General features: G+C 36.9%; 1 annotated feature.

Moving 5' to 3' along the window:
• Positions 20,334–20,503: an enhancer, noted in NCBI's record as "experimental_87752 CRE fragment used in MPRA reporter constructs". NCBI's record gives its function as "activates a minimal promoter by MPRAs in K562 erythroleukemia cells, with activity observed for the non-introgressed 6:115508283 variant allele {active_cell/tissue: K562}" and the evidence as "EXISTENCE:reporter gene assay evidence [ECO:0000049][PMID:34662402]".

The following is a 22,535-nucleotide window of genomic DNA, read 5'->3' on the forward strand; positions in this document are numbered from 1 at the left end:
TTATAGTTTTGCAAACTTTTAAAACTTTAATACATGTTAGTGTTCAGATTTATATTTTGTATGTAATAGAATGTGGCATAAACTATAATTCTCTATGTAAGACTCTATAATGGCCCTTTTTAGTCTTTGTAAGAAATACAGATTTCAATAATTTTATAGCTGTAGGTCATCTGCAAGAGTCTGTTGTAATAATTTGGATTTATGAGATTTTTCTGTTTTATACAAAATATATGAAATATGTTGATTGTTCAGTAATTATTTCTGAATGAATATTCTGGGCAATATGCTGTACCAGGAACTGTGAATAAAGCAGTAAAAATGACAGAAAAGCCCTTTACCTGATGGAGCTCACCTACATATCAAGGACGGCAACATCAAACAATGGATTCCAAACATGGCATTACAATTGTGAGAGGTGCTATGAAGAAGTAGAGCTTCCTAATCTTCAAAGTGCATTTGAATCATCTGGAGATGTTATTAAAATGCAAACTCTTATTCAATAAATCTGGGCAGAGGCCTGAGGTTCTATGTTCCCAGCAAACTGCAGTGATGCCAGCACTGCAGGCTGTTCTACAGCTCACACCTGTACTAACAAGGAGCCAGCGTTGGGCAGAATGTACAGCAGGAAACCTGGCTGAATTTAGGAGGATAAGGATAGCTTTTCTGAGAAGTAATGCACACATTATCCAGACTTGAAGGAGAAATAGGAGTTAATTGATAATTGAGGAGGAATAGAGAATATTTTGTGTAGAAAGAATAGCAAGTGTGAAGGCCCAGGCAGGAAGAAATCCTGTCACACTCAAGAACATGCAAGGCCAGCATGGTTCCAACACAAAGTCCAGGAGAGAGTTGAGGCCAAGGTATTGGCAGGGATCAAATCACTAAGGGGTTAAGGAAGGGATGTTTGGAAGCATAGTGGAGAGAGTCTAAAATGTAAGGGATTGGAAAAGGTTTGAGCAAATGGATTCTTGAGGTTGCAGGCAATAGGTTTTGCAGAGGAGAGGAATGCAGTTGAGAGCCAGGGCTCCAGGAATGTTCTCTGGGGCACTCTTGGGGGTTTGTAGTCAGAGAGGGGCCTGAGAAGTTAAAAGAATGCTTCTAGGGATCCCCAAAGGATGACATTTAAAGAGGAGAGAAAGGACAGAGAACAGATAGAACTCAAAATGTGTTGATGAAGTCACATTAGGCAGCAGAAGGGGAACCCAGACTTAGAATGATCATCTAAGCTTTAAGTCTAGCACCACTGTTGTGTAATAAAGAATGTGAGAAAGCTTGCTGAGTGGTCAGGAATAAGGGCTTTGAAACCTGTCTGCAGGAGTCAGGACCTGCCTTAGCATCCTCCTAGCCCTGTGAATATGAGCAATATTCTTCACTGCTCAGTTGGTAAATGTCCTCATCTCTAAAAAGAGTTAATTTAAGTGTCAATGTCCTAGCGTGGTTGTGAGGATTAAATGCAACACACATGTCAAGAGATTCTTGGTGTATGTTAGTCAATAAATGTTGGTCATTATTATTTGTATTCTTACATAAATCATGTATTTATTTTGTTGATGTTATTTTTCTGAGGAGATTGAAGTTCGTTATATGCAACAAATTATCTAATTTAAAGATATTATCATTAAAAGAAATATATTTAATATGGAAATAACACAATTAGAATTACACAGTTTCCTACTCCAAAGTTCTTGCACAGGTGTCCCTATCATTTGTGCATATGACTATCACTTTTTAACTAGCTTTGTACTTTGTTCTTTTAGTACTCTAATGATATTTTTTGAACATAGCCACAAAAGCAACTCATGTAGGAGACTGTATCTACACATTATTTCATTTTTTGATGGTTTTTAAGTAAGTTGTATTAGAGACAGCAATTTGCACAAATATATGAAACTGTGTGTTTTTAGAGACTTAAAATTAAGATTACCTTTTCTAGTCTTTCCTTTTGTAGGGGTGGTCAAGAGATGAAAGATCTGGCAAATGAGATACACATAAACATGTTATATGGTAGCCTACAAGAAATCTCACTTATGTTTTGGGGCTCTTCTCCCTTCTTCATCTTCTCACTTACTGGAATGTGGATGTGATGCCTGAACTGACATATCATATAGGAGTATAAGATGGGAGTCAGGCTGATGATGGAGAAGAACAAGATATAAAATACCTGCATCACTGAACACATGCCACTATGCCAGTCCAGAATAACCTTCACCTTGGTTCTGTCATGTGAGTGAGGAATACACTGTTATCTCATCTAAGCCAGGCATTTTGACATTTCAAAAATATTTGTTACCAAATTAATCCTAACTACTATACTACCATAAATAATAAAATTAAAAGAATATATATATAACTATATATATAAAAGCTTTCTTAACTTTTTAAAATTATACTTTAAGTTCTGGGGTACATGTGCAGAACGTGCAGTTTTGTTACATAGGTATACACATGCCATGGTGGTTTTCTGCACCCGTGAACCCATCACCTACATTAGGTATTTATCCCAATGCTATCCTTCCCCTAGACCCCCACCCCCCGACAGGCCCCACTGTGTGATGTTCCCCTCCCTGTGTCCATGTGTTTTCATTGTTCAGCTCCCACTTATGAGTGAGAACATGTGGTGTTTGGTTTTCTATTCTTGTGTTAGTTTGCTGAGAATGATGGTTTCCAGCTTCATCCATGTCCTTGCAAAGGACATGCATCCCTTTTTACAGCTGCATAGTATTCCATGGTGTATATGTGCCACATTTTCCTTATCCAGTCTATCATTGATGGATATTTGAGTTGGTTCCAAGTCTTTGCTATTGTGAATAGTGCTGCAATAAACATATATGTGCATGTGTCTTTACAGTAGAATGATTTATAATCCTTTGGGCATATACCCAGTAATGGGATTGCTGGGTATTTCTAGTTCTACATCCTTGAGGAATCGCCACACTGTCTTCCACAATAGTTGAACTAATTTACACTCCCACCAACAGTGTAAAAGTGTTCCCATTTCTCCACATCCTCTCCGGCATCCGTTGTTTCCTGACTTTTTAATGATCGCCATCTAACTGGCATGAGATAGTATCTCCTTGTGGTTTTGATCTGCATTTCTCTAACGACTATATATAACTTTCTTTTATATATATTTATATACAAAAGTTATATATATGAAGTTATGTGTATATATAACTTGTATGTATATATAACTTCATATATATAGTTATATATAAACTATATACTTAACTATATATAATTATATAGTTAATATATAGCTATATATAAGTATAGAGTTATATATTTACACATTTTAAAAGTTTTGTTCAAGCTTTTTCAAAATATCAAAGTAATTTAGGCCACAAAATAGTTAAATATGTTTGTATGAGCCTAAGATCTTCCATATATATATATATGTATATATATACTATATAGTTTATATATAACTACATACTTATATATAGTTCATATATAACTATATACTTATATAGATATATACAAAAATTATAGTTCTATATATATAGTAAGTGTAACTTATGGAAGTATTTATACTTACTATATAAACTATATAGTTATATGTATTTATATATAAAGTATATATATACACTAAGTGTATATTATACCATATAACTATATATGCCTAGCATATATAGGTTTTCCAGGTATATATAGCATCTGTCATGATAGGATGAATTCCCTCAGGTGGTTCAGCACCACACTCAGCACACAAGTAAGCTGCAGGATCATTACATAAACGACTCAGGCTCTTCCTAACTGATCTTATTGTTTTGATTTTGCAAGTGGGTAAATAAGAGGTTGAACTTTTGTTGCTTTGCTAAAATGAGTCTTTATATTTTAGTCTCTCACAGACCAGTGGGTGGTAAGTTTGATGTGATAGCATACACCAAAACTGTTGCACACATTCTAGCACTAAGAGAAGGCTTATTCATACCTTAGTGCGCATATCAGACACTTCTTATGTACCACTTCAAGTTCTCTCAGCCTTATCTCTCTTGTTGCAGTCAGGTGTGGACCAGCTGTGTGTGTGAGTGTGACAGATTTCACAAAGACACAAGCTAAGAGTGCCTTGCTTAATGTCTACACTGCTCATTCCTCACCTTCTACCTGGAACTTCCCTGCTGATGTTGAGACATGAGATGCCATCTAACCCCAGTCGGTGCCCTCTCATGTGCAAACCAGAAGCTCAATGAAGTTAAGACCTTGTGAGGCAAACGTTTAACCAATAAGACACAGCAACCAGTAGATAGAAGTTTTGTGGGTATTCGCTTCTTTCCCCTTCTTATGTGTATAATCTTCAGATTCAGTCCTTTGTAACCCTTTTAATTTTTGTAGGCCATCCAAAGATTGTATCAAGATAAAGCAATGGCACTTGATACTAGGTATTAATTGTTGCCAGATTATTAATGCACCCACATAATGGTGTTTCTCATTCCCTGACTCATGCTGATTTTCCCTTACTCCCTTTTTCCCTTTTTTCTTTCTTTTCTATGTTTATTTATTTATTTTCTTGGGGGGACAGAGTATTGCTGTGTCGCCCAGGCTGGAGTGCAGTGGTACATGCAACCTCCACCTCCTGGGTTCAAGCAATTCTCATGCCTCAGCTTCCCAAGTAGCTGAGATTACAGGTGCCTGCCACCAGGCCTGGCTAATTTTTGTATTTTCAGTAGAAAATAAGATGGCCTATGCTCATTCAGAATACATGACTCAAGAGGGTCAATGATGCTAAGATGTCTGTTGTAGGTAACAAACTTGTGGACTGTCTCTGTTAAGCCCTGATATGAAAGTGACAGTGCAGACCCCTAAGGTTCAGAAGCAAGGCCATGCCTTCTCTGGCAGATAATTGCTCTTTATTTTAAAAAAGGCTACCTGTATCTCCTGCATGTTCAGGGATGCTAGTACATTTATGAGAAACTGTAAAAATGAAAGAAAGAATGACCTAAAGTATAGATGTACATGAACTTCTAAGCATTGGCAAGTAGCTTAGTTATGGTGAGAATCTGGGAAGACCCCAGAATATTAGGGACGAGCCAATCTGAAGAAAGGATATGTAGCAGTGACCAGCCATTTTCTTTGGCCACTCTAGTGTTTATTCAATGGACATATGAACAAATGACCATTATAGTAGGGATGGAGGTCATGCATGTAACCACAGTAGAGATTGTTATCTCTCACCAAGACTAATATAATTACTTCCACTGCGAAACGTTTAACCTTCCAGGAGAAGAGACTGATATTGAACACTTAATATGCCCTATTACCTCAAGGGGTACAGTACTTCCATTCTTAAAAAGGCAGCAATTTGCCATTATCTCATCAGATATGCACCCTGGGAGTCTGATTGCCTTCTCTTACTGCAGTGCCTCCACTTCTGTAAATCAGAAAAAAAAAAAAAAAGAAAAAAAAAGTAGAGGGAAAAATGAGGAAAAAAAAGAACAGTTTCTCAGTGAACTGTAAAACAACATCAGTACATGTAATTTTAATTCTAGAAAGAAAGAAGAGAGGGAATGGGGCAGAAAGAGTATTTGAACACAGAATGACAAAAATCTCTGATATTTGTTGAAAGGTGGTAAGTTTACAGTTTCCAGAAATTCAGTGAACCCCAAGTAGAGTAAATGCAAAAAAGAACCACACCTCGGGAAATTATGGTCAAATTGCTGAAAGCCCAAGATAAAGGAAAAAAAAAAACTTGTAAGCAGTCAGAGTAAAATCACACATCATATGTAAGGAAATAACAGTGTGAATGTCTACTGACTTCTCATAAGAAGCAATATAGGCTAGAAGAGAATGAGATAATATTAAAGAGCTGAAAGAGAAAAAAAGTCAGAATTCTATACACAGTGAAAATATCCTTTGAAGGTGGAATATAGGCATTTTCAGACAAAATAAAAGCAAGAAAATTCATCACCAGCAGATATGCTCCATAATAACTGCTATAGGAAGTTATCCAGGCTGAAGGGAAAGAAATTCAAAAGAAAATTCAGATATTTTAGAAATGTAGAGTTAAACCAGCAGTTTTATATTTTCTGTCACATTTTATAAAATATACATGATACAAGCAAAAAATGTATATTATTATGAGTTTAAAACATATAAATATAATTCTATAACAACTATAGCATATAAAATGGAGCTAGAGGTAAAAAATGGACCTAATATTGCAAGATTTCTACATCATAAAAAAGTGATCCAGCGAAATAGTTAAGAATGCATATTGGGGTCCTTAGAGTAACCACTAAAAACGAATGTAAAGATAGAACTAAAAATAAAATAAGCCCTTAATTACTACAGGATATTCATATGATAACTCTGTCAACACTGTCCCTAATGATGCCTGAAGTAATGGAAAATAAGAATATCTGGCAATTAATTCACATGTTGATAATTCAAAAGCAACTATCCTTGAGAAATTCTAAGCATTCAATGCTTCCCTATGAAGAGAGAATGTGAACAAGACTTAGAATGATAATCTATCAGCTATAATTTTTTATGTTAACTGGCTACTTTAAGGTATTTCTTATTGCTTTAATACTTGAACATATCCAACATCTAAAATACAATAAAAAATAATTTGACATTTAAAAAACAGAAAAAATAAACAATGAAAATTAACTTCAAGATGATCCAATGTTGCCCACTGATACATATTGACACATTGTTACATAACTACAAAATGATTTATTGTAAAACTTTAAAATATATATGCATAAAAAGGATTAGTTTTCAACAGGAAGTCAGTATACTACAAACAGTTTAAAGTCAGATGTACATCAGTGATCAATTTTTTAAAATGTTTGTTATAGAGAGCAGAAGAGTAGTTATGTGGTTGGGGTGGAGACGGGGTGACTACAAAGTGGTATGGTAGATAAATATTAAAAGTAATAAAAATAATGTTTTATATCTTGATTGTGGAGGTGGTTACGTGAACAAATGCATTTGCCAGTACTCATTGAACCTGTCACTTAAAAGAGGTACAGTTTAATATGTAAACTGTACCCCAAAAAGTAAAAAATGTAGACCAAACTCATTAACTTGTTGTATATCTGGGAAATCAAATAATCATAATCAATAGTTATTGGTCAACATGAAATTTGACAATAATTTCAGAAAAATAATATTTTGAGAAAATTATTTCCTCAAATTAGCTATTTAATTTTATAATACAGCAATTTTCTATGTAACAAGTTTGATCAGAGCACATTTTTCCCCCTTAAGAGGAGGACAGCTTATCAAGTAACACCTGGAGAAAATAATCGGAGGACAGAGATAAAATTCAAGTAGTATATTTCCTGTTAACGAACCACAAATTGGGTATAAAATGCAGGCTTCAGGAAGATAATACAGGTAGTTGAGAAAATGAAACAAAGTAATAATGCAGAAAGATTATAAAGAGCTGCAGGTTCAGCTTTGTATCTTTACTATCAGCAAACATAGCGCCAAGTAGATTATAATGGTTTCATCTTTACTTTTCTATTTCTCTCAAGTTTAATGTGATAGCACGATTTTAAATGCTGAGTTAATTAGATACTTCAGTGTATTAACTTTCTCTCCCTTTTTTGGCAGTTAGTATCTATACTGTTAAATTCCTCTAGAATCTGTACTTTTATAAATAGTTTACTTAAACTTTAAAAATAAATAAGAGTAATAAATTACTTTGATAGAATTAGGCCCTGTAAGTTGATTATATTCATTCATCTATTTATTTAAGTACTCACAAACTGTACTATGCAAATGTTACTCCCAGCTACTGAAGAGCATGAAAAGAAATGCAGGCATACTGCTTATTCCAAGGACTTCACATATAAAAAAGGAGAGCTGGAAAAAAATTACAGGTAGCAAAACAAGGTCAAATAGAATTAATTACCAAGCAAATTACCTAGATGCCTATTCAAGATAATAATTGCTAAAAATGCCAATGAAATTTAAAAACTTCTTAGTTTACTACCACCCAAACAAAATGGAACTTGCTTTGATCTTTAAAGATAATATGACAAACACTGAAATACTTGAACTCTTTTGCAGTTTCTCTTTTCATTTTCTCAAGGACAAATATAAAAATAGTCTTGGAACATATTTTTTCTATAACTACTGATTAAGAACTTAAACACAGCTTGCATTTTATAACAATGTGTTTATTTTTTAAATTGTAAAGGGACATTTTTGAAAGAGTATATTGCCCTCACAGCCAAAGAACCCAAACTATTTTATGTTTCTCTTCTGAAGCCACTTTTATGAAACATAAATGCAATATGTTATTGGAAAGAGAAATAAATTTGTATGCATGAATTCACACTTTCTTGTGAGCCTTTCCCATGGAAAATACTACACAAATGTACTCTGTGACTACCAGTATTATAAGGTAAATGCAAAATTATTTTTTGGCTATTACTATAATTAACGTATATGAGCTATGTAAAGGGAGGAGAAAATGAATTCAAACTGAATCTGAATATTCTGGGTAATACACGGATTGCAAATGGATTAATACACTAGGAAAGAAGTAACACTGTAGATAAATTAAGAACAAATAGGAGGAGCCAAGATGGCCGAATAGGAACAGCTCCGGTCTACAGCTCCCAGTGTGAGCCACGCAGAAGACGGGTGATTTCTGCATTTCCATCTGAGGTACCGGGTTCATCTCACTAGGGAGTGCCAGACAGTGGGCACAGGTCAGTGGGTGCGCGCACCGTGCGCGAGCCGAAGCAGGGCGAGGCATTGCCTCACTTGGGAAGCACAAGGGGTCAGGGAGTTCCCTTTCCGAGTCAAAGAAAGGGGTGACAGACGCACCTGGAAAATCGGGTCACTCCCACCCGAATATTGCGCTTTTCAGACCGGCTTAAAAAACGGCGCACGACGAGATTATATCTCGCACCTGGCTCGGAGGGTCCTATGCCCACGGAGTCTCGCTGATTGCTAGCACAGCAGTCTGAGATCAAGCTGCAAGGCGGCAGCGAGGCTGGGTGAGGGGCGCCCACCATTGCCCAGGCTTGCTTAGGTAAACAAAGCAGCCAGGAAGCTCGAACTGTGTGGAGCCCACCACAGCTCAAGGAGGCCTGCCTGCCTCTGTAGGCTTCACCTCTGGGGGCAGGGCACAGACAAACAAAAAGACAGCAGTAACCTCTGCAGACTTAAATGTCCCTGTCTGACAGCTTTGAAGAGAGCAGTGGTTCTCCCAGCACGCGGCTGGAGATCTCAGAACGGGCAGACTGCCTCCTCAAGTGGGTCCCTGAACCCTGACCCCCGAGCAGCCTAACTGGGAGGCACCCCCCAGCAGGGGCACACTGACACCTCACACGGCAGGGTATTCCAACAGACCTGCAGCTGAGGGTCCTGTCTGTTAGAAGGAAAACTAACAAACAGAAAGGACATACACAGAAAAAAACCCATCTGTACATCACCATTATCAAAGACCAAAAGTAGATAAAACCACAAAGATGGGGAAAAAACAGAACAGAAAAACTGGAAACTCTAAAACGCAGAGCGCCTCTCCTCCTCCAAAGGAACGCAATTCCACACCAGCAACGGAACAAAGCTGGATGGAGAATGACTTTGATGAGCTGAGAGAAGAAGGCTTCAGACGATCAACTTACTCTGAGCTACGGGAGGAAATTCAAACCAAAGGCAAAGAAGTTGAAAACTTTGAAAAAAATTTAGAAGAATGTATAACTAGAATAACCAATACCGAGAAGTGCTTAAAGGAGCTGATGGAGCTGAAAACCAAGGCTCCAGAACTACGTGAAGAATGCAGAAGCCTCAGGAGCTGATGCGATCAACTGGAAGAAAGGGTATCAGCAATGGAAGATGAAATGAATAAAATGAAGCGAGAAGGGAAGTTTACAGAAAAAAGAATAAAAAGAAATGAGCAAAGCCTCCAAGAAATATGGGACTATGTGAAAAGACCAAATCTATGTCTGATTGGTGTACCTGAAAGTGATGGGGAGAATGGAACCAAGTTGGAAAACACTCTGCAGGATATTATCCAGGAGAACTTCCCCAATTTAGCAAGGCAGGCCAACGTTCAAATTCAGGAAATACAGAGAATGCCACAAAGATACTCCTCGAGAAGAGCAACTCCAAGACACATAATTGTCAGATTCACCAAAGTTGAAATGAAGGAAAAAATGTTAAGGGCAGCCAGAGAGAAAGGTCGGGTTACCCTCAAAGGGAAGCCCATCAGACTAACAGCAGATCTCTTGGCAGAAACTCTACAAGCCAGAAGAGAGTGGGGACCAATATTCAACATTCTTAAAGAAAAGAATTTTCAACCCAGAATTGCATATCCAGCCAAACTAAGCTTCATAAGTGAAGGAGAAATAAAATCCTTTACAGACAAGCAAATGCTGAGAGATTTTGTCACCACCAGGCCTGCCCTAAAAGAGCTCCTGAAGGAAGCACTAAACATGGAAAGGAACAACCAGTACCAGCCACTGCAAAATCATGCCAAAACGTAAAGACCATTGAGACTAGGAAGAAACTGCATCAACTAACGAGCAAAATCACCAGCTAACATCATAATGACACGATCAAATTCACACATAACAATATTAACTTTAAATGTAAATGGACTAAATGCTCCAATTAAAAGACACAGACTGGCAAATTGGATAAAGAGTCAAGACTCATCAGTGTGCTGTATTCAGGAAACCCATCTCACGTGCAGAGACACACATAGACTCAAAATAAAAGGATAGAGGAAGATCTACCAAGCAAATGGAAAACAAAAAAAGGCAGGGGTTGCAATCCTAGTCTCTGATAAAACAGACTTTAAACCAACAAAGATCAAAAGAGACAAAAAAGGCCATTACATAATGGTAAAGGGATCAATTCAAAAAGAAGAGCTAACTATCCTAAATATATATGCACCCAATACAGGAGCACCCAGATTCATAAAGCAAGTCCTGAGTGACCTACAAAGAGACTTAGACTCCCACACATTCATAATGGGAGACTTTAACACCCCACTGTCAACATTAGACAGATCAACGAGACAGAAAGTCAACAAGGATACACAGGAATTGACCTCAGCTCTGCACCAAGCGTACCTAATAGACATCTACAGAACTCTCCAACCCAAATCAACAGAATATACATTTTTTTCAGCACCACACAACACCTATTCCAAAATTGATCACATACATGGAAGTAAAGCTGTCCTCAGCAAATGTAAAAGAACAGAGATTATAACAAACTATCTCTCAGACCACAGTGCAATCAAACTAGAACTCAGGATTAAGAATCTCACTCAAAACCGCTCAACTACATGGAAACTGAACAACCTGCTCCTGAATGACTACTGGATACATAACGAAATGAAGGCAGAAATAAAGATGTTCTTTGAAACCAATGAGAACAAAGACACAACATACCAGAATCTCTGGGACGCATTCAAAGCAGTGTGTAGAGGGAAATTTATAGCACTAAATGACCACAAGAGAAAGCAGGAAAGATCCAAAATTGACACCCTAACATCACAATTAAAAGAACTAGAAAAGCAAGAGCAAACACATTCAAAAGCTAGCAGAAGGAAAGAAATAACTAAAATCAGAGCAGAACTGAAGGAAATAGAGACACAAAAAACCCTTCAAAAAATTAATGAATCCAGGAGCTGGTTTTTTGAAAGGATCAACAAAATTGATAGACCGCTAGCAAGACTAATAAAGAAAAAAAGAGAGAAGAATCAAATAGACACAATAAAAAATGATAAAGGGGATATCACCACCGATCCCACAGAAATACAAACTACCTCTGCGCAAATAAACTAGAAAATCTAGAAGAAATGGATAAATTCCTTGACACATACACTCTCCCAAGACTAAACCAGGAAGAAGTTGAATCTCTGAATAGACCAATAACAGGAGCTGAAATTGTGGCAATAATCAATAGTTTACCAACCAAAAAGAGTCCAGGACCAGATGGATTCACAGCCAAATTCTACCAGAGGTACAAGGAGGAGCTGGTACCATTCCTTCTGAAACTATTCCAATCAATAGAAAAAGAGGGAATCCTCCCTAACTAATTTTATGAGGCCAGCATCATTCTGATACCAAAGCCGGGCAGAGACCCAACCAAAAAAGAGAATTTTAGACCAATATCCTTGATGAACACTGATGCAAAAATCCTCAATAAAATACTGGCAAACCGAATCCAGCAGCACATCAAAAAGCTTATCCACCATGATCAAGTGGGCTTCATCCCTGGGATGCAAGGCTGGTTCAATGTACGCAAATCAATAAATGTAATCCAACATATAAACGGAGCCAAAGACAAAAACCACATGATTATCTCAATAGATGCAGAAAAAGCCTTTGACAAAATTCAACAACCCTTCATGCTAAAAACTCTTAATAAATTAGGTATTGATGGGATGTATTTCAAAATAATAAGAGCTATCTATGACAAACACACAGCCAATATCATACTGAATGGGCAAAAACTGGAAGCATTCCCTTTGAAAACTGGCACAAGACAGGGATGCCCTCTCTCACCACTCCTATTCAACATAGTGTTGGAAGTTCTGGCCAGGGCAATTAGGCAGGAGAAGGAAATAAAGGGTATTCAATTCGGAAAAGAGGAAGTCAAATTGTCCCTGTTTGCAGACGACATGATTGTATATCTAGAAAACCCCATTGTCTCAGCCCAAAATCTCCTTAAGCTGATAAGCAACTTCAGCAAAATCTAAGGATACAAAATCAATGTACAAAAATCACAAGCATTCTTATACACCAACAACACACAAACAGAGAGCCAAATCATGAGTGAACTCCCATTCACAATTGCTTCAAAGAGAATAAAATACCTAGGAATCCAACTTACAAGGGATGTGAAGGACCTCTTCAAGGAGAACTACAAACCACTGCTCAAGGAAATAAAAGAGGATACAAACAAATGGAAGAACATTCCACGCTCATGGGTAGGAAGAATCAATATCGTGAAAATGGCCATACTGCCCAAGGTAATTTACAGATTCAATGCCATCCCCATAAAGCTACCAATGACTTTCTTCACAGAATTGGAAAAAACTACTTTAAAGTTCACATGGAACCAAAAAAGAGCCCACATCACCAAGGCAATCCTAAGCCAAAAGAACAAAGCTGGAGGCATCACACTACCTGACTTCAAACTATACTACAAGGCTACAGTAACCAAAACAGCATGGTACTGGTACCAAAACAGAGATATAGATCAATGGAACAGAACAGAGCCCTCAGAAATAATGCCGCATATCTACAACTATCTGATCTTTGACAAACCTGACAAAAACAAGCAATGGGGAAAGGATTCCCTATTTAATAAATGGTGCTGGGAAAACTGGCTAGCCATATGTAGAAAGCTGAAACTGGATCCCTTCCTTACACTTTATACAAAAATCAATTCAAGATGGATTAAAGACTTAAATGTTAGACCTAAAACCATAAAAACCGTAGAAGAAAACCTAGGCATTACCATTCAGGACATAGGCATGGGCAAGGACTTCATGTCCAAAACACCAAAAGCAATGGCAACAAAAGACAAAATTGACAAATGGGATCTAATTAAACTAAAGAGCTTCTGCACAGCAAAAGAAACTACCATCAGAGTGAACAGGCAACCTACAAAATGGGAGAAAATTTTTGCAACCTACTTATCTGACAAAGGGCTAATATCCAGAATCTACAATGAACTCAAACAAATTTACAAGAAAAAAATAACCCCATCAAAAAGTGGGCAAAGGACATGAACAGACACTTCTCAAAAGAAGACATTTATGCAGCCAAAAAACACATGAAAAAATGCTCATCATCATTGGCCGTCAGAGAAATGCAAATCAAAACCACAATGAGTTACCATCTCACACCAGTTAGAATGGCAATCATTAAAAAGTCAGGAAACAACAGGTGCTGGAGAGGATGTGGAGAAATAGGAACACTTTTACACTGTTGGTGGGACTGGAAACTAGTTCAACCATTGTGGAAGTCAGTGTGGTGATTCCTCAGGGATCTAGAACTAGAAATACCATTTGACCCAGCCATCCCATTACTAGGTATATACCCAAAGGACTATAAATCATGCTGCTATAAAGACACATGCACATGTATGTTTATTGCGGCATTATTCACAATAGCAAAGACTTGGAACCAACCCAAATGTCCAACAACGATAGACTGGATTAAGAAAATGTGGCACATATACACCATGGAATACTATGCAGCCATAAAAAATGATGAGTTCATGTCCTTTGTAGGGACATGGATGAAATTGGAAATCATCATTCTCAGTAAACTATCGCAAGAACAAAAAACCAAACACCGCATATTCTCACTCATAGGTGGGAATTGAACAATGAGATCACATGGACACAGGAAGTGGAATATCACACTCTGGGGACTGTGGTGGGGTGGGGGGAGGGGGGAGGGATAGCATTGGGAGGTATACCTAATGCTAGATGACAAGTTAGTGGGTGAAGCGCACCAGCATGGCACATGTATACATATGTAACTAACCTGCACAATGTGCACATGTACCCTAAAACTTAAAGTATATAAAAAAAAAAAGAACAAAGTAGCTTTATGGGGATTTATAACATTATTGCTAAATTTTCTTACTAGACCTCTGTTGGCAAAATGATTGCTCACTAGAAGTTTAACAATTATATATATTTACATTTAGAATTATAGGACTGGTTAGAATAAATACTAGTTTACCCCCATTGTCTCTAGACCCCATTGTCTCTGAGATGGTTTCACCATGTTGGCCAGGCCCATCTCGAACTTCTGGCCTCAAGTAATCTGACTGCCTCAGGTTCCCAAAGTTCTGGGATTATAGATGTGAGCCAACACACCTGGCCGATCAGTTGACATTAAGTAAATGAATTACCTTTGATAAGGTGGGTGAACTTCATCCAATTAGATGGAAAACATTAAAAACAAAAACTGAGGTTTCCATGGAAGAAATCTACCTGAAAACTGTAGCATCAACCCTGCCAAAAATTCAGCCTGCCTGCGTACCCTACAGATTTCAGACTGGCTAGTTCATTGTGTGAGTCAAGTCCTTAAAATCTCTTGGTAGACAGATGGATAAATAAATGGATAGATGATAGATAGGTGATAGATTAGATAGATATCCTATCTATCAGTTATATTTCTCTGCAGAAACCTGATTGATACAGTAGGACTTTATTTTTTATCCTTAAGGAATGGTAGCAGAAAAGAGAAGTATGGAGTAGAGAAGAAAGAGGAAAGACGAGAGAGAGAGGGAGAGAAGGGGGATGAATAGCATCCAGAACCTGAGCCAAGATTGCAGAAATAGCCATAATTTTAGAGAAATATAATGGTGAAAATTCAACTTTATTTATATTACTGCAAAGAAAATATCTGTATCCTGGAAGTATTTAATAAAGACTGCTATAAAGATAACACTTTTGGTCAGTGAGGATCAGGGAATACCAGATTGCCAAAAAATAAAAAATAAAAACACCAGCATGGCACTAAGTTTGCATGAAAACCCTTAAGCTGAATTAGGCTCTGAGCCATAGACAACATGATAATTTCCATATCCATTTCATTTAGATTTTTCTTGCTAATCATTTCAAATCTGTTACTGATGGCTTCATCCCACTAATAATTTCTAGAAATCTTAGAAAGAGCTTTGAATGTCCTGAAATTATGAAGTGAAAGAGCAAATACTATCAAGATCTTAAAAAGCAGTGGGGCATGGTGGCTCATGCCTGTAATCTCAGCACTTTAGGAGGCTGAGGTGGGTGGATCACCTGAAGTCAGGAGTTCAAGACCAGCCTGTCCAACATGGTGAAACCCTGTCTCTACTAAAGATACAAAAATTAGCCAGGTGTGGTGGCAGTCAACTATAATCCCAGCTACTCAGGAGGTTGAGGCAGGAGAATCACTTGAACCCTGGAGGTGGAGGTTTCAGTGAGCTGAAATCGCCCCAGCCTGGGTGACAAGAGCAACTCCGTCTCAAAATATATATATATGTACAATTAAAAGGCATATGACCCCAGCTAACAACTGTGGTTACAAAGGTGACTATGATATAAGCATCAGTTATCTATTGCTTATGTAGTTAGGTATGACGTTTATTTTTAAATGGCAGCTTGTGGTGAGCTTCACAGGAATTTAAAATAATTGTATTTCATATTTTAAAAATATTTCCCCAAATGTATTTTTTCCAAAATTAACTTTCACAGTCCATTAATAAGTTTTCAAAAACAAAATTAAACTATTAATAGAGTTGAAGAGAATAATTTTACCATATGCTTTTTCTGTTTCAATCATGTACATTGACTTCTCGGTTATGATATGCAGTGTAATTTTGGTAAACTTCGACTTATTTGTTTATAGTCTTTCTTTTCTCCAGAGTAGAGTTAACATTGCCTACATAAATATTTACAATGCAAATGAAAGCAGGTGCAGTATAATAAATTAAAATTGAGATGAGTATAATACCTAGGCAATAAACTTGCTAATTGTGGTTTTAAAATATGTTTCTTGGCAATCCAGTAGCCAAAAAAAAGAAAAGAAATGGTCACATCAAATCACCTGTAATAAAAAATAGACTGGGTACTCAGAACAATGTAACTCTTCCACATGTTGAAGCTACTGAAAGTATCCTGAGTTTTCAAAAGGAGAAGAGCAACTCGTGGTACTATAAACACATTCCTCAGCACCATCCTTACAATGAACAGGGCAATGAGAATTTCAAAGGCACTTTTAGATAACATCCTTCCAGGTAGGCTGAAAGCAAAATAAGAACAATCTTTTTGTCAACCAAAATTATATAGCCTAACTTCCAGATCAGGTTAAGATGGAAAAAGTACACTCTCTCTCCCAGGAAACACCACCAAAATCCCCTGGACAGTGCAGTGAATATAGACAGAGAAATGTCCATGAAAAACAGTCTCTTTTAGTCCAGAGAACTCGGAAGGGCCACATCTATGGGATGTATGCACGTAAAAGGAAATCCTCTTTTTGTATTTTCTTTCTTTTTATTCTCTCAGCATTACCTCAAAGCAAGCCCCCTTAGGAAACTGCACTCCTGCGAAAATGCGGTGAAATAGCAATAGTGATGGCAGTGACAGTAGAGATGGCAGTCACCTAGGTATCTAAAACACTGATAAAAATATTCTCATTCCTGACTAGAGAAACACGAAAGGAGCTCCTGTGGTCAAAGCATATAGGGGGAATCTCTGTTACTTGTTCTCTCTCTTTTGTCACTTTTCCTCAAAACAGACCTATTTGCAGAAAGCTTGTAACAGTTTGGGAGACAAAATTTTCAGCTTTCTAGCCAGAGCACCAAAAATTGGTCCTTTGGGAGCTGTAATATGTTAGAGAATTACAGGGGGTGGAGGATACAGAACAAGGTCCCTTAAAACCCTATATAACGTCCTGAACTTACTCCTGATCTGTACAGGTGAGGGAATGATGTAGAACAACAGAGCAAAGGCTTATGGAATGGAAATACTCTACAGATGGCCATTCAAGTGCCATTTGACTCACTCCTGAGGACTGGATAAATAGAATGGACCAAAATAGCACTGAAAGGTGTTACAATCAAAACTAAGATTGGAACCTGCAGACCACAGAAGGTGAATCTGGACTGCTTCGTGTGACATTAACTAGCAAACAACAAAAAGTACACATTCAGCAGAGGATTTTAACAAGACACAGAGACAAAATCTTCAAAATTTCCAGGATACAATATAAAATTATTCAACCTAAAAAGAGGGGGAAAATGTTAAAAATTATTAAGAAAAAAGATCATCAATAGACAATCACAAAAGAATCCAGATGCTAAACTTAGAAAGATGTTTTAAAGTAACTATTCTACCCGTGTTTTATAAAATACGATGAAAAACTCTTGAAATGAAGGGGAAGATAGAACTTGTCAACAAAACTGGTAAGTAAAAAACTACCAATAAAAATTCTAGAACTAAAAATAAAAGAAATTAAAACTTCAACAGAGGAGTTCAATCACAGAATGAAAATTATAAAAGAGTCACTGAACTTGCAGATGGATCATAGAAATTATCCAAGCTACATAAAAAATAGCTATTGAATAAATGGAGCCTAAGAGACCTGTGTGACAATATCAGAAGTTCCAACAACTATGTCTTTGGGGTTCCAAAAAAAGAGAAGAATGTTCTGTACGTGTGCATGTGTGCCTGTGCACACACATAAACACACACAATGTAACTTGCTAAACATTACCAAAAATTGGAAAAATATATAAATTTACAGATTCAAAATCTCAGTGAACTCAAGCAGAACACATCGAAAAGAAAACCATGACCAGACACATCATAATCAAACTACTGAAAAGCAAAGATTAACAAAAAAAAGTCTTGAAAGTAGCCAAACGAAAACAAAATATTGCTTGCAGATAAACAACTCAAATGCCTGAAGAGTTCTCATTATAAAAATGGGTGCCAGAAGACAGTGGAAGAATATTTTCAAAGTATAGAAAGAAATGAACCGTTATCCCACAAATCTAGATTTAGTGTAATATCTTTCAGGAATAATGACAAAACAAGGATATTTTTTCTCACTTGAAGGGAAACTAACATAATTTATCACCAGTAGAGCTAGTCTAAAAATAAATGTTAAATAAATTTCCTCATGATGAAGTACAATGAAAAAAGAGAGAAATTTGGAATTTCTGGAGAGAAAGTAAAGCAGAAGAATTGGTAAATACCTGAATAAATATAACAAATTTTCTACTCTTATGTAAAATAGGTGTGATTGTAAAAAGTGATAATTATGAGGGTTTCAATGTATGTAGACACAATACATATGAACAACACAAAAATAAACAGTAGAGAATAAAGACATTTATAATGTGATAAAGTTTCTCCTTTTTTTTTTTTTTTTTTTTTTTGAGACAGAGTCTCACTCTGTTGCCCAGGGTGGAGTGCAGTGGTGCAATCTCAGCTCACTGCAAGCTTTGCCTCCTGGGTTCACTCCATTCTCCTGCCTCAGCCTCCTGAGTAGCTGGGACTACAGGCACCCGCCACCACACCTAGCTAATTTTTTGTTTTTGTATTTCTAGTAGAGACGGGGTTTCACCACATTAGCCAGGATGGTCTCGATCTCCTGACCTCATGATCCACCTGCCTCTGCCTCCCAAAGTGCTGGGATTACAGGAGTGAGCCATCACGCCTGGCCAAGTTTCTCCTTTTTACTTGAAGTGGTAAAATATTAACTCCAAGTGGAATGTGTAAAAAGTTACATATACATGTATGTATGTATGAATATAGAGCAACCATTGAAAAACAATATAGAGACAAAAAGGCAATATTTTTGTTAAAATGGAATTTTAAAATATTCAAATAACCAAAAGAAGTATAAAAGGGAAATCAGCAGAACAAACATAATAACAATAAAATTAACAATCATTCATCAATAATAAAATAGAAGACCTAAACCCAATATTGAGCAAACAGACCAACTAAAAGAGAACATCAGATTAGATGAATAAAATAAGTCACAAGATATATTTTGTATCTTTTATATCTACAAGAAACTTTATGTATAATGAAATAAGGTCATTAGAAAAAGGATGGAAAAAGACGCAGTATGCAAACACTAATCAAATATTAAAGTGGCTATGTTATTACTAAAAAAGTAAACTTCAAAAGAGGGAAAACAACCAGGGATAAAAAGGTTCACTAAATAATGATAAACTTACCAGGAAGCCATAGCAATGTCTATACATGAAACTTAGAGCTGCAAAATACGTGAGGCAAAAAATAACATAACTGAAAGGAGACATAGAAAAATCCACTAATGGTATATTCAACAACATAAATGAATCTCAAAAACATTATGCTAAGTGAAAAAAGCCAAACAGAAAGTTTCATATTGAATGACTCCATTTATATGACATTCTGGAGAAAAAAAATCAAAGCTCTCAGAAAAGTGGTTACCAGGGTATAGAAACAATGTAGTTGGTGAAAATATTTTGGGTGACAATTGCACTTGTTCTACATCCTGATTGTGGTAGAGGTTATGTAACTATGCTTTATCAAAACTCCCAGAATCATACATCAAAAAGTGTATTTTTATTAAGTGAATTATAAATAAACAAATCACTAAATTATAGATAAATGAATTGGCGATGTAGCTAAAAATTGCACCCCTCTGTTGCTCTGACTTAATAGAAAAAATTTTTAGAAATCTGAAATAATGGATCTCAATTTTCTCAATTAAGAGAAATACTTTGTGCGATAGAATGTCTTTTCTTTTCCTGATACTTCCTTCCTCTCTGTATGCATCCCATTTTCTTGTGACTGTGTAGCTTCTTGCACTAGAACCAGCTCCTATTTCTCCACATCACTAATATTAGGCTTTGCCAGGTAATCTTTGCCCAGTGAAGTCTGGGCAAAATTAAGATTGTACCGAGTGTGAGCCTAGTCCTTAAGAGATATCGAGGGTTTTCTTTCATATATCTTGTTTTTCTCCCATTGGTAATAGATAATGTGCGTCCAACTAGCCACTTCTTTTTTTTTTTTTTTTTTGAGACATAGTCTTGCTCTGTAGCCCAGGCTGGAGTGCAGTGGCGTGATCTTGGCTCACTGCAACCTCCGCCTCCCAGGTCTCAGTTCAAGTTCAAGCAATTCTCCTGCCTTAGCCTCCCGAGTAGCTGGGATTACAGGCACGCTCCACCATGTCCAGCTAATTTTTTGTATTTTTAGTAGAGACGGGGTTTCACCATGTTGGCCAGGCTGGTCTTGAACTCCTGACCTCGCGATCCACCGGCCTCAGCCTCCCAAAATGCTGGGATTACGGGCGTGAGCCACCACGCCCAGCCTAGTCCACTTTCATCTCAGGGAGATGAAAGACACACGTAGCAGACCTGACCCAACCTGTAGTTTGAAGCCAAACCCAGACAAAACCAGCATAGATCAACCAACCAAGAGATAATTTGCTGACATATAGGGCAAATGAATTATTATATTTTAAGCCATTGAGTTATGAGATGCTTTACTAAGCCACATTAATGCCCAAAGCTGATTAAATAGACTTTATGATATTAAAAAATGGTCCCATATCCTTAACGATAATAATTATGCTTTTATTAATACTATCTGTTGATAGAAAGGATTACAGTGAAAGCTACTATAAATCCAAAAATAATTATTAAGAAAGCTATATTTTGTTTGTCACAATAGCATTTTTATATATTTAAAAATGTAGTACATACACAAAAAGCTACTATTCAGTCTAGTTAATATTCTTGATATAATTATGGAAAATTAGAACATTTTTTGTGATAATTCTATACTCGCTCCTCATCTATATCCATCCCAATCACCCACCAGTGCCTTCAGGAAGGGATGTCAAAAGCATTGGTTGAAATTCTTTGAACTAGAAAATAGCTTTTAAAACAAATCTCCATAGATATACTACTTTTCCTCAACTGAAGCTTCAAAATTATTTAACAGTCTTGAATTCAACATGATTATCTCGCTAAGAGGACTGTGAAGTATACCAATTATAAGTTGTAAGATAAGAGTGGTGCTAATATTTTTTGATGGTAAGCCAATCTATGAATAAGATTAATATCTTAAAAAAAAACAGAGGAGCTTAACAAAGACGTAGCCACCACTCCTCACTCAGGTATCCATTGATTCATGTACTTTTAAATGCTTATTCAATAAATATTTATGAAGTACCTGTTGGTGCTTAGCAGTGAGGATACATTCCTGAGTAAAATAGATGGTCCTTGTTATCATGGTGCTTAGAGTATTGTGTAAGAGACTATTATAAGCTAAATAGTCACATAAATGTGTAAGTCCAAGCTCTGGCAAATACTCCAACAATAAAAACAATTTAAGAGAATATCAGTGGGGCATCTATCTAATTTGAAGCATCAAAGAAGACTTTCCCAAGGAGGTGACATTTAGTGGTAGTAAAAAGCCATGAGAAGAAAAGGAAGTCTAGGCAAAAGGACTAAAAAGCATATGCAAAGAGCACACAAACAATTGAAATAAGTTGTGTCTGAGGGCCAGAAACAAAGCCAGAGGTATTGAATCTCAGGGAAAAAAGTGAAGAGTGGCATTAAATGAGGCTGCAGAGGAGAAATGATCTGGACTTCACCAGTCCTGTGGGCCAGGAAAAAGGTTTAGGTGTTGATATAAAAGCAGCGGGAAACCATTTTAGGCTTTTAATCAAATTAGTGGCATGATAAAATTTTTACTTTTGTAATAAATGAATTCTTTTTTTTTTTTTTTTTTTTTTGAGACGGAGTTTCGCTCTTGTTGCCCAGGCTGGAGTGCAATGGCGCAATCTTGGCTCACTGCAACCTCTGCCTCCCAGGTTCAAGTGATTCTCCTGCCTCAGCCTCCCTAGTAGCTGGGATTACAGGCATGTGCCACCACACCTGGCTAATTTTGTATTTTTAGTAGAGACAGGGCTTCTCCATATTGTTCAGGCTGGTCTCAAACTCCTGACCTCAGGTGATCTGCCTGCCTCAGCCTCCCAAAGTGCTGGGATTACAGGCATGAGCCACTGCGCCTGGCCTGTAATAAATGAATTCTAATGAGGACA

This window comes from Homo sapiens, chromosome 6, assembly GCF_000001405.40.
Source record: "Homo sapiens chromosome 6, GRCh38.p14 Primary Assembly".
Lineage (NCBI taxonomy): Eukaryota > Metazoa > Chordata > Mammalia > Primates > Hominidae > Homo > Homo sapiens.